General features: G+C 39.8%; 2 pseudogenes; both read left to right on the top strand.

Moving 5' to 3' along the window:
• Positions 374–1,411, top strand: RPSAP8 (ribosomal protein SA pseudogene 8; annotated as a pseudogene).
• On the top strand, positions 5,689–7,638 carry CTDSPL2P1 (CTDSPL2 pseudogene 1; annotated as a pseudogene).

Genomic DNA, 14,720 nt, shown 5'->3' with positions numbered 1-14,720 from the left:
TTGGTGGGAGTGTAAATTAGTTCAACTATTGTGGAAGACAGTGTGGTGATTCCTCAAGGATCTAGAACCAGAAATATCATTTGACCCAGCAATCCCATTACTGGGTATATACCCAAAGAATTATAAAACTTTCTTCTATAAAGACACATGCACACATATGCTTATTGCAGCACTATTCACAATAGCAAAGACTTGGAACCAACCCAAATGCCCATCAATGATAGACTGGATAAAGAAAATGTGGCATATATATACCATGGAATCCTATGCAGCCATAAAAAAGAATGAGTTCATGTCCTTTACAGGGACATGGATGAAGCTGGAAACCCTCATTCTCAACAAACTAACACAGGAACAGAAAACCAAACACCGCTTTCTGCGCTACCTACAGAGGGGTCCATATGGCGTTGTTCTGGATTCCCATCGTAACTTAAAGGGAAACTTTCGCAATGTCCGGAGCGCTTGATATCCTGCAAATGAAGGAGGAGGATGTCCTTAAGTTCCTTGCAGCAGGAACCTATTTAGGTGGCACCAATCTTGACTTCCAGATGGAACAGTACATCTATAAAAGGAAAAGTGATGGCATCTACATCATAAATCTGAAGCGGACCTGGGAGAAGCTTCTGCTGGCAGCTCGTGCCATTGTTGCCATTGAAAACCCTGCTGATGTCAGTGTTATATCTTCCAGGAATACTGGCCAGAGGGCCGTGCTGAAGTTTGCTGCTGCCACTGGAGCCACTCCAATTGCTGGCTGCTTCACTCCTGGAACTGTCCGTCGCTAACCAGATCCAGGCAGCCTTCTGGGACCCACGGCTTCTTGTGGTTACTGACCCCAGGGCTGACCACCAGCCTCTCATGGAGGCATCTTCTGTTAACCTACCTACCATTGCTCTGTGTAACACAGATTCTCCTCTGTGCTATGTGGACATTGCCATCCCATGCAACAACAAGGGAGCTCACTCAGTGGGTTTGATGTGGTGGATGCTGGCTCGGGAAGTTCTGCGCATGCGTGGCACCATTTCCCATGAACACCCATGGGAGGTCATGCCTGATCTCTACTTCTACAGGGATCCTGAAGAGATTGAAAAAGAAGAGCAGGCTGCTGCTGAAAAGGTAATGACCAAGGAGGAATTTCAGGGTGAATGGACTGCTCCAGCTCCTGAGTTCACTGCTACTCAGCTTGAGGTTGCAGACTGGTCTGAAGGTGTGCGGGTGCCCTCTGTGCCTATTCAGCAGTTCCCTGTTGAAGACTGGAGCGCTCAGCCTGCCACGGAAGACTGGTCTGCAGCTCCCACTGCTCAGGCCACTGAACGGGTAGGAGCAACCACTGAATGGTCTTAAGCTGTTCTTGCATGGGCTCTTAAGCAACATGGAAAAATGGTTGATGGAAAATAAACATCAGTTTCTTAAAAAAAAACCCAAACACCTCATGTTCTCACTCGTAAGTGGGAGCTAAACAATTAGAACACATGGACACAGGGAAGGGAACATCACACACCAGGGCCTGTCGGGGGGTGGGGGGCAAGGGGAAGGAGAGCATTAGGAGAAATATCTAATGCATGCGGGGCTTAAAACCTAGATGACGGATTGATGGATGCAGCAAACCGCCATGGCACATGTATACCTATGTAACAAACCAGCACATTCTGTGCATGTATTCCAGAACTTAAAGTATAATAACAATAAAAAAAAAGATCAGAGCAGAAATAAATAAAACTGAAACGAAGAAAACAATACAAAAGATTAATAAAACAAAAAGTTGCTTTCTTGAAAAATAAAACTGATAGACCTTTAACCATACTAAGGAATAAAAAGAGAAGATCCAAATAAATAAATTCAGAAATGAAAAAGGTGATATTAAACTGATACTGCAGAAATTCTAAGGATCATTACTGGCTACTATGAGGAACTGTATATGCCAATAAATGGGAAAATCTGGAGGAAATTGACAAATTGCTGGATACACACAACCTACTGAGATTGAAACAGGAAGAACTCCAAGACCTGAACAGGCCAGTAACGAGTAATGAGTTTGAAGCCATAATAAAGTCTTCCATCCAAGGAAATCCTGGGACCTAATGGCTTAGCTGCTGTATTCTACCAAACATTTAAAAAACTAATATCAATCCTACTCAAACTATGCCAAAAATAGAAAAGGAGGGGGACACTTCCAAACTCCCTCTATGAGGTCAGTATTACCCTTATACCAAAACCAGACACAGACACATGATAAAAAGAAAACTATAGGCCAATATCCCTAATGAAAATTCATGCAAAAATCCTTAACAAAATACTAGTGAACCAAATTCCACAATACCAATTCAACAATGAAAGATCATTCCTCATGACCAAGTTGGGTTTATCCTAGGGTTGCAAGTTTGGTTCAACATACTCCAATCAATGTAATACATCATATTAACAGAATGAAGGATAGAAACCGTATGATCATTTCAATTGATGCTGGAAAAGCATTGATAAAATTCAACATCTCTTAATGACAAAAACACTAAAAACCTGGGGATAGAAGGAACATACCTCAACATAATAAAAGCCATATATGACAGACCCACAGCTAGTAGCATACTGAATAGGGAAAAACTGAAAAACTTTCCTCTAAGATTGAGAACAGGACAAGGATGCCCGCTGTCACCACTGTTCTTCAACATAGTACTAGAAGCCCTAGATAGAGCAATCAGACAAGAGAAAGATATAAAGGGCATTCACATTGGAAAGAAAGAAGTCAAATTATTCTTGTTTGTAGATCATATGATTTTATACTTGGAAAAACCTAAAGACTCCACAAGAAAACTCAGAACTAATAAGCAAATTCAGTAAAGTTGCAGGATACAAAATCAACACACAAAAATTACTAGCGCTGGTTGGTTAAGATGGCCAAGTAGAAGCATCTGCGGTGCATGGCATTCACGGAGAACTAAAAGGGAGAGTGAATATAGCACCTTCAACTGAAATATCCAGTTATTCCCATTGGGACTGATCAGGAAAACAACTTTACCCAAGGAGAATAAAGAAAAGCAGGGTGTGGTGATGGCCCACCTGGAAGTGACATGGAGCCAAGGGAAGCAGTGAGTGAATGTATGACCCTGGGAAACCAAGCTTCTCCTACAGATCTTTGCAACCCTTGGACCAGGAGATCCCCTTGTGAGCCCACACAACCAGAGCCTTGGGTTCAACACAAAGAGCTGTGTGGAGTCTCAGCAGAGCATCTGCTCAGACATGCACAGAGACCCAGGAGCATTACATACTGCAGACCCAGGATCCCCAGGAAGGTGAGAGGTTCATACATACCCCTAGGAAGAAGGCTGAATCCAGAGGCTGAGCAGCATTGGTCTATGGGCCCCACTTCCATGGCACTTCACAAGATAAGACCCACTGGCTTGGAATTATATCCATTCACCAGCAACAGGGTGGAGTCTGCCTGAGACAAGATGAAGCCCCTGTGGGGATGGGCAGGCCACCATCTTTGCTGTTTGGTCAACTCAACTGTTCCTGCCTGTGGGCTTTGGACAGTCCAAATGGTTTGGACAGTCCAAATGGTTTGGACAAGGAAGGTTCCCTGCTCCCAGTGCAGAACACCTGCTTTTCCAGAATGTGGCCAGACTGCTTCTTTAAGTGGGACCATGATCCATTCCTCCTCACTAACTTGGACCTCCCAGCTGGGGCCTCCAGCCATCTCCACCCACCCATATTCTATGGACGAGCTCTGATCTCTCCCTGGAATGGAGTTTCCAGAGGGAGGGGTGAGCCACCACCTTGGTTGTTTGGGTGACTCAGCAGTCCCAGCCTGTAGGCTTTGAAGAGTCCAAGCTGACCAGGGAAGAGGTGGTTCCCTAGCATGGCATGGCTGTTTTGTTGAGGCATGGCCAGACTGCTTCTTTAGGTGGGACCTCAATCCATTCCTCCTCATTGGGCAGGACCTCCCAGCTGGGGCTTCCGGCCACCGCTGCCCACCCATATTCTATGAACAGAGCTCTGATTTCTCCGTGGGAAGGAGTGCCCAGAGGGAGTGGCAGGCTGCCATCTTGGTTGTTTAGATGACTCAACTGTTCAATCTTGTGGGGTTTTGAGAGTCCATGCGGATGGGGCAGATGTGGCTTCCCAGCATGGCATGGATGTTTTGACGAGGTGTGGCCAGACTGTTTCTTCAAATGGGACCCCAATCCACTCCTCGTGGGGTGGGTCCTCCCAGTCTGGGCCTCTGTCCACCCCCACCTGTGTTCTGTGGCTGACAGAGTTCTAATTTTTCCCTGGGACAGGGTGCCTGGGGGTGGGGCAGCCTGCCACCTTTGCTGATGGGCTTCTCAGCCAGTCCAGCATGAGGCCCTTGGAGAGTCCAAACTGATAGGGAGCTGAAGGGATCCTCAACACGGCACAGCTGCTCTACCAATATGCAGCCAGATTGCTCCTTTAAGTGGGTCCCTGATCTCATTCCTCCTGAACTGGGTGAGACCTCCCAACTGGAGTCTTCAGCTACCTCCTACAGGCATGTTCAGGCCGGAAACAAGTAAGTACCCCCGTGGGACAGAGCTTCCAGAAAAAGGGACTGGCTGTAATCCTTGCTGTTCTGCAGCCTTCACTGGTGATACCTTCAGGTACTGGAAAAACCGAGGTGACTAGGGTCTGGAATGGACCCCCAGCAAACTGCAGCAGCTCTACGGAAGTATGGCTTAACTGTTAAAAGAAAAACAAACAAACAACAACAATAACAACAATAAAAAATACAAAAACCCCATCCAAAGGTCAGCAATCTCAAAGATCTAAGGTAGATAAACCTACAAAGATGAGAAAGAGTCAGCACAGAAATGCTGAAAACTCAAAAAGCCAGAGTGCCCTCTGCTCCAAATGACCACAACACCTCTCTAGCAAGGGTTCAGAAATGGGCTGAGGCTGAGATGACTGAAGTCACATAATTAGTCTTCAGAATGTGGATAAAAATGATGTTCACTGAGCTAAAGGAGCACGTTTTAACCCAATGCAAAGAACCTAAGAATCATGATAAAACAATGCAGGAGCTGACAGCCCAAATTGCCAGTATAGAGAGGAATGTAACTGGCCTGATAGAGCTGAAAAGCACATTACAAGAACTTCACAATGCAATCACAAGTATTAATAACAGAATAGACCAAGCGGAGGAAAGAATCTCAAGAGCTTGAAAGCTGTCTTTCTAAAATAAGACAGACAAGAATAGAGAAAAAAAGAATAAAAGGAATGAAAAAAAATCCAAGAAATATGGAATTATGTAAAGAGACCAAATCTGTGACTCACTGGGGCACCTGAAAAAAACAAGGAGAGTCGAACCATTGGAAAACACATTTTAAAATATCATCCAGGAGAACTTCCCCAACCTAGACAGGCCAACGTCAAAACTCAGAAAATGAAGAGAACCCCAGTAAGATACCCCATAAGAATATTATTCCCAAAAGGCATAGCCATCAGATTCTCCAAGGTCAAAATGAAAGAAAAATGTTAAGGGCAGCCAGAGAGAAAGGCTATGTCACCTACAAAGGGAAGCCCATCAGACTAACAGCAGACCTCTCAGCAGAAATCTTGCAGGCCAGAAGAGATTGGGGGCCAATATTCAACATTCTTAAAGAAAAGAATTTCCAGCCCAGAATTTCATATCCACCCAAACTAAGCTTCATAAGCAAAGGAGAAATAAGATCATTTTCAGGTAGGCAGGAAATGGCAACTGGCTGGAGGAGCTGGTTCTGTTGCTGCTGCAGAGCAAGTGGGAAAGACACCATGTATTGTCCAGTCGAGACCGTTACAGGAGCCTGAGGACACTTCTCTGTCATCACAGTCAGTTTTATATGTGGCACCCATAAAAGATGAGGCTGAGAACATGGAAAGCTTCTCAGCAGTAAACACAACTCACTGCCAGAGCAAAGAGGAAATATTCATAGGTTGATGATAGCCTGCCTTCAGGAGGAGAAAAACCACCAAAGAATGAAACTGGCTGGTCTTCAATTAAAAAATTCATTAAAGGAAGCACACCTAAGGAAGAGAGAGAAAATCCTTCAAAATGGAGTATAATTGAACGTGATATAGATAATAATTTGATCACGTCAACACCAAGAGCAGGAGAGAAACCTAACAAATAGATATCTTGAGTAAGACAGAAAAGTCAAGTAAATTGAGAAACTGGTAGTTATGAAATGACAAATCAACATGTAAAATAAAATGGAAAATTAGAAAATAATCCTTCCTCTGGCAGTCCTCCAAGGACTACTCTGTTGGAGCTGAAGAAATAGTAAAACAACTTAATATGGAACGGGTGGATGAGATCACTACCCGTTCTACTACATCAACTAATGGAGCAGCTTACTCAAATCAAGCAGTTCGGGTGAGACCATCAATAAATACTGGTTTAGCAAACACCACATGTTCTCACTCATAAGTGGAAGTTGAACAATGAGAACACAAGGACACAGGGAGGGAAACATCACACACCAGGGCCTGTCACGGGATGGGGGGCTAGGGGAGGGCTAGCATTAGGAGGAATACCCAGTGCAGATGGCAGGTTGATGGGTGCAGCAAACCACCATGGCACATGTATACCTATGTAACAAACCTGCACATTCTGCACATGTATTCCAGAACTTAAAGTATAATTTAAAAATACAAAACAACAACAACAGCAACAACAACAACAAACCACAATGGTTTAGAAGAAGCAGAAGAAACAGTTAATTGTGATATCCCACCCCTTACAGGACCAGTCATTCCAGATAGTGGTTATTCATCATCCCACGCAGAGGCCACCTATGAAGAAGGCTTGGAAGTATTTGACCCCTATTATTTCATCAAACATGTCCCACCACTGACAGAAGAACAACTAAATAGGAAATCTGTTCTTCCGTTGAAAACAAGAAGCACACCGAAATTCTCCCTAGATTTACACTTGGATGAAACAGTAGTGCACTGTAGTCTAAATGAGGTAGAAGAGGCAGCACTTACTTTTCCAGTCCTTTTCCAAGATGTCATTTATCAGGTTTAGGTGATATTAAGACCATTTTGTCAGGGAATTCCTGGAATGAATTTCTTAGATGTATGAGATTATTCTTTTTACTGCTTCTAAGAAGGTGTATGCGGGCACATTACTGAACATAGTAGACCCTAAAAAGCAACTGGTCAGGCACCGTTTTTTCCATGAACATTGTGTTTGTGTACAAGGAAATCATATAAAGAACTTGAATATTCTTGCAAGAGATCTTTCAAAAACTGTAATAATTGACAACTCACCACAAACCTTTGCATATCACCTTTCTAATGGAACCCCTATAGAAAGTGGGTTTATGGATAAAAATGACAATGAACTCCTAAAATTGATTTCATTCCCGGAGAAGCTTGTAGAACTGAATGAAGATATTCATTCACATATCAGAGACAGATTTCACTTGCATGATTTGCTGACCCAAGATTAAGTACAAAGACTTGTCAAATCACTGAAAGGGGAGAGATTGCAGGACCCTTTTGGACTAAGACAAAAAGATTGTCATTACTGTGGAAATTTTGCATTTTTGTACCCCGTCTTGCTTTTCTTACCTTTGATGCCTAATAATAATCAAAGGTTACAGAAAGAGGCTTTATCTATCTTAGACTGAATACATACAGTAGGTAAGCTAAAACAGACGAGTCTTTAGAACTAGTGCAACTCCCGTGAATTTTTTTTTTATGAACAGGACATCTGCAGTTTATAAAGAACTCTGTTTCTGCCACCAGAAGTTTGGCCTATAGTCACACAGGATTTTATAATAATAACAGAGATGAAAATGAACTTTTATTTTCTCCCTGTTTGGTGTTCTTGGTGGGTTTGTAGCCACTTTTCTGTTACTTTATGGTTCTCATTTCAACAGGAATGGCCAGCAAAAGTTGTTTTATTTTTCCTGTTAAGGGTCATAAACTTTTTACATTTTTGACCTGTATTAGATTAGAATTTCATTATGCATTCTTTTTAGTTGAGGTATTTTATAGTTTTCTGGAAATAGTCAATTTTGAGTTAAAAAAAATTTTTTTATGTTACTTTAAGTGCCTGGGGTACATGTGAAGAAAGCACAGGTTTGTTACGTAGGTATACATGTGCCATGGTGGTTTGCTGCACCTTTCAACCTGTCATCTAGGTTTTAAGCTGCACATGCATTAGGTATTTGTCCTAATATTCTCCCTTCCCTTGCCCCTTACCCCCTGACAGGTCCCAGTGTGTGATTTTCCCCTCCCTGTGGGGATATAAGTTGTGGGGATATAAGTTTGGCTTATATCCAAAAGACAGGCAATGACAAATGCTGGCGAGGATGTGGAGAAAAAGGAACCCTTGTACACTGTTAGTGGGAATGAAAGTCAGTATAACCACTATGGAGAACAGTTTGGAGCCCCTTCAAGAAACTAAAAATTGAGCTACTATAAATCCAGCAATCCTACTGCTGGGTATATACCCCAAAGAAAGGAAATCACTATTTTGAAGAGAGAGCTGCACTCCCATATTTGTTGCATCACTGTTTACAATACCCAAGATTTGTAAGTAACCTAAGTGTCCATCAACAGATTAATGGATAAAGAAAATGTGGTGCATATACACAATGGGTTAATATTCAGCCATAAAAAGAATTAGATCCAGTCATTTGCAACAACATGGATGGAACTGGAGTTCGTCATGTTAAGTGAAATAAGCCAGGCACAGAAAGGCAAAACACTGCATGTTCTCACTTATTTGTAGGATCTAAAACTTAAATCAATTGAACTCATGAACACAGAGAGTACAAAGATAATTAACGGAGTTTGGGTAGGCATTGAGGGGGAGATGGGATGGCTAATGGGTACAAAAACAGTAGAAAGAATGAATAAGACCTACTATTTGATAGCACAATAGGGTGAATATAGTCAATAATAATTGTATATTTTTAAATAACTTAAATAATGTAATTAAATTGTTTGTAACTCAAAGAATAAATGCTTGAGGGGATGGATACCCATTCTCCATGATGTGCTTATTTCACATGACATGCTTGGATCAAAGCGGCTCATATACACCATAAATATATGTATGTCTCTACTATACACACATTTTTTTAAAAAGTAGTTAAAAAATTAAAAAAATAGATACATGACACATTTCAAGTGAATTTTTATATGGTGTAAGGTAAGGATCAAGAGTATTTTTTAAATATAGATATCCATTTTTTCAGTATAATTTATTTAAAAGAAAATTTTTTCCTCAATGAATTAACTTGGCACTTTGTTGAAAATTAATACTATATATGTGTGGGACTATGTGTGCACTCTACATTCTGTTACATTGATCTTTTTTTAATCTTTAATACTAAATTTTCTTTAAAACTTACTATAAAGATGCAATAATCAAATAGTTTAAACCTTTAGTTTTGTTCTTTTCCAAAATTTCTTTGACTATCTTAATTCCTTTGAATTTCTATAACATTGTGTAATCAGATTGTCACTTTCTATTTTTAAAAAACTTGCTGGGATTTTCATTGTGATTACATTGAATCTACAGATTTATTTCAGTAGGACTTACGTCTTAACAAAATTGTGCCATCCTCTCATGGACTCAGTATTTATAGTATCTCCATTTATTGAGGCTTTCTTTATATCAGCGGGATTTTGTAGTTTTCAGTGTTTCCAAACTTAGGGGGAAACATTCAATTTTCCACTATCTAATATGATATTAGCTGTAGGAGTTTATAAATGCCCTTTATCAAGTTGAGGAGAGTCTCCTTTGTTTCTTATTTGCTAAGAGTTTCTATTATCAATGGATATTTTATTAAATAGGTTCTTTTTGGCACCAGTTAACATTATCATGTGATTTTTCTTTTTTAAACTGCTAATATGTTTGATTACATTGGTTAATTTTTCAAATATTGAGCCAGCTTGTATTCCTTGGATAAAATCCACATTGTTGTGATGTATTGTACTTTTTATGTAGTGCTGGATTCAGTCTGCTAATATTTTGTTGAAAATTTTTGTGTCTGTGTTCAGGAGGGATATTGTTCTGTAGTTTTATTTTTTGTGTGTGTCTCTGTCTAGTTTTGGTATCAAGATAATGCAGGCCTTGTAAAATGAGTTGGGACGTGTTTCCTGTAACCATATTTTGTGGAAGATACTGTACTGTACTGGTATTAGTTCTCCTTTAAATGCTTATTAGAATTCACCAGAAGTGGGTAGCTAGACCTAGAGATTTCTTCCTTTTTGTTTTCTTTACTACAAATTCCATTTCTTTAATAGTTATAGTGCTGTTCAAGCTATCTATTTTATCATGGGTGAGTTTTGGTCATTTTCAGTTTTCTAAGAGATGGTCTTTCTGATCAAAGTTGTTAAATTTTTGTATGTTGAGTTGTTTGTAATATTTTCTTACTGTCCTAATATCTGCGCATTCTGTGGTGATATTTTCTATTCCTCATATTGGTAATTTGTGGCCCCCCTCTTTTTTTCTTTATAAGTCTTGCTATGGGTTTATAAATTGTATCAGTCTTTTCAAAGAAGCAGCTTATGAGATAATTTGTTCTATTGTTTATGCAATTTTTGGATTTCATTGATTTTAGCTTTTATCTTCATTACTCCTTTCTTTGTTCTTGCTTAGGGTTTATTTTATTTTTTCCTTTTTTAGTTTTCTTAGGTGGAAACTTGGATGATTCGCTTGTGATCTTCCTTCTTTTCTAATATAAGTACTTAATGCTATAAATTTTCTTTTAAGAACTGCTTTAGCTGCATCTCACAAATTTTGATATGTTATGCTTCGTTTATATTAAGTTCAAATATTTTAAAATTTATCTTGATATTTCCTCCTCGACCTGTGTATTATTTAGCAGTGTATTAATTTTGAATTGATTGGAGATTTTAGTCTATTTGTTATTGATATCTAGATTAATTGCATTGTGGTAAAATAGTATACTTTATATGATTCCAGTTATTTTAAATTTGTTAACGTTTGTTTTATGACCTAGAACAGGGTCTATTTTGGTGTATTAGTCCATTCTTACACTGCTGTGAAGAAATACCCAAGACTGGGTAATTTATGAAGGAAAGTGGTTTGATTGACTCACAGTTCCACAGGGCTGGGGAGGCCTCAGGAAACTTACAATCATGGCGGAAGGGCAAACAAACATGTCCTTCTTCACATGGCAGCAGCAAGGAGAAGTGCTGAGTGAGGGACGGGAAAAGCCCCTTGTAAAATCATCAGATCTCATGAGAACTCACTCACTATCACAAGAACTCTATGGAAGTGAATCATGCCCCCATGATTCAATAACTTCCTACCAGGTCCCTCCCATGACACAGGGGGATTATGGGAACTATAGTTCAAGATGAGATTTGGCTGGGGACACAGCCAAACCATATTATTCCACTGCTAGTCCCTCCCAAATCTCATGTCTTCATAATTCAAAACACAATTATGCCTTCCCAACAGTCCTTTAAAGTTTTAATTCATTCCAGAATTAACTCAAAAGTCCAAGTCCAAAATCTCATCTAAGACAAGGCAAGTCCCTTTCACCTATGAGCCTGTAAAATCAAAAGCAAGTTAGTTACTTCCTACATGCAATGGGGGTACAGGCATTTGGTAAATACAGCCATTCCAAATGGGAGAAACTGGCCCTATACAAAGGAGCTACAGGCCCCATGCAAGTCAGAAATCCAATAGGGCAGTAATTAAAGCTTAAAGCCCCAAAATGATGTCCTTTGACTCCATGTCTCACATCCAGGTCATGCTGATGCAAGAGGTGGGCCCCACACACTTTGGAAGCTCCACCCCTGTGGCTTTGCTGGGTACAGTCCCCCTCCTGACTGCTTTCATAGGCTGGCATTGAACGTCTGTGGCATTTCCAGGTGCACGGTGCAAGCTGTCGGTGGATCTACCATTCTGGGGTCTGGAGGATGGTGGCCCTCTTCCTACTGCTCCACTAGGCAGTGCCCCAGTGAAGATGCTATAGGGGGCTGCATTCCATACATCTTCTGAAATCTAGGCATATGTCCCCAAACCTCAATTCTTTACTTCTGTGCACCCTCAGGCCCAACACCACATGGAAGCTGCCAAGGCTTGGGGATTGCACCCTCTGAAGCAATGGCCTGAGCTATAGTTGGCCCTTTTTAGCTACAGCCGGAGTAGCTGGGACTCAGGGCACCAAGTCCCAAGGCTGCACACAGCAAGGGGACCCTGGACCCAGCCCAGGAAATAATTTTTTCCTCCTAGGCCCCTGGGCCTGTGATTGGAGGGGCTGCTCTGAGGGTCTCTGACATGCCTTGGAGACATTTTTTTTTCATTGTCTTGGTGATTAACATTTGGCTTCTTGTGACTTATGCAAATTTCTGCTGCTGGCTTGACTTTCCCCCTGGAAAAAAGGAGTTTTCTTTTCTATCACATCATTAGGCTGCAAATTTTCCAAACTTTTATGCTCTGCTTTCTCTTGAATGCTTTGCTGCTTAGATACTTCTGCCAGATTCCCTAAATAATCTCTCTCAATTTTAAAGTTCCGCAGATCTCTAGGGCATGTGCAAAATGCCACCAGTCTCTTTGAATAGCAAGAGTGACCTTTACTCTAGTTCCAGGCAAGTTCCCCATCTCCATCTGAGACCACCTCAGCCTGGACTTCATTGTCCATATCACTATGAAGCATTTAGGTCAAAGTCATTCAACAAGTCTCTAGGAAGTTCCAAACTTTCCCACATTTTCCTTTTTTAATTCTGAGTCCTCCAAACAGTTCCAACCTCTGCCTGTTACTCATTTCCAACGTTGCTTCCACATTTTCGGGTATCTTTACAGCAGTGCCCCACTCTCTGCAGTACCAATTTACTACATTATTCCGTTCTCATGCTGCTAATAAAGACATACCCAAGACTGGGTAATTTATAAAGGAAAGAGGTTTAATTGACTCACAGTTCTGCAGGGCTGGGGAGGCCTCAGGAAACTTACCATCACGGCAGAAGAGGAAGCAAACACGTCTTTCTTTACATGGTGGTAGCAAGGAGAAGTGCCAAGCGAAGTGGGAAAGCCACTTATAAAACCATCAGATCTCATGAGAACTCACTCGCTATCATGAGAACAGCATGGAGGTAATTGCCCCCATGATTCCATTACCTCCTACTGGGTCCCTCCCATGACATGTGGGGATTATGGGAATTACAATTAAAGATGAGATTTGGGTGGAGCCAAACCATATCATTTGGTTAATGTCCCATGTGCCTTTTGAATAAATGTATATTCTGTTGTTGTAGGTTGACTGTTGTATAAATGTTAATTAGATTCAGTTGTTTGATTATGTTATTCAGTTCTTTTCTATTATTGCTGGTTTTATGTCTACCACTTCTGTCACTGAAAAAAGGAGCGAATACTTCAGCTATAATTTTGTATTTGTCTATTTCTCTTTTTGGTTCTGTTTTTGCTTCATGTTCTTTGAATGTTTGTAATTAGGTGAATATGTACTTAGAATTTTTATGTCTTCTTGGTTAATTGACTCATTTGTCAATATGTAATGTCTGTTTTTAATCCTCTGATTTTGTTTTCTCTGAAGTCTACTTTTATATTAACACATCACTTCAGCTTTATTTTGCTTTGTGCTTGTATGGCGTCTTGTTATTTTCCTTTTAATATATTTATATTACATTTGAAGTAAATTGCTTCAGACAGCATATAATTGAATCATGTCTTTTTCATCCTTTCAGGCAATTTCTACCTTTTATTTGGTGTGTTTAGATCATTTACACTTGATATAATTTTTGATATGTCTACCATTTTATGTTTTCTCTGTTCCTTCTGTCTTGTAGTCCCGTTTCTCATTTTCATCCCTCTTTTGAATTATTTATATAATTTTTAGTATTCCATTTTAATTTATCTATTAAAATTCTGACTATGTCTTTGTATAATAATTTTAGTGGTTTATCTAGGGATTACAAAATACACACTTAACTTTTAAGTCTATTTAATATCAATATTTTACTACTTTTATTGGAATGTAGAAACCACCATATAAGTACATTTTCCCTTCCTCCTCTACACTGTAGGCATCTTTTCTACATAACATCTATATACATCTTCAGATCTCTTCAGAGAATGCTATATATTTTGGTTTGAACTATCAAACATGTTTTAAAGAACTGAAAAGGAGAAAAGTAGTATTTTACTCATAAAACTTGTATCTTGTATCTCGCTGCTAAAAAATCGTATCTTAATGGTGAAAATAGTTATTTACCATTTCTATTACTCTCCTTCATTCCTTATGTTCCAATTTTCTTTCTGGTATTATTTCCCTTTGCTTTAATAACTTACTTTAATAAGTCTTTAGACCATACCTGATAGTAATGAATTATCATATTTTTTTCATCTAAAAATATCTTGACTTCCCCTTTATTTCTGAAGAGTAATTTTGATGGACACAAAATTCTGGGTTGACAATTCTTTGCTTTTAGCATTTGAATATTATGGTGAAACTTACCTTTTGTCTCTTGTCCCTTCGTTTTTAATGAGTGATCATTATCTATATGAATTGTTATCCTTGTTTATGCGAGGTATCATTTCTCTGTCTACTTTCAATATTCTTTGTATTTAGTTTTTAGCAGTTTGATTATGATGTACCTGAGGAGTGTAGATTTTTGGGGGTTTCTTATGTTTGTGATGTGCTCAGCTTCTTAAATATGCAGGTTTATGTGGAAGGCAGAATAATTTTTCTCCAAAGATGCCCATAACTCTTATCTCCAGA

The sequence above is a fragment of the Homo sapiens genome, chromosome X, assembly GCF_000001405.40.
Source record: "Homo sapiens chromosome X, GRCh38.p14 Primary Assembly".
In the NCBI taxonomy this organism is placed as follows: domain Eukaryota; kingdom Metazoa; phylum Chordata; class Mammalia; order Primates; family Hominidae; genus Homo; species Homo sapiens.
The sequence above is the reverse complement of the archived record's forward strand: the minus strand, read 5'-3'. Positions and strand labels throughout refer to the sequence as shown.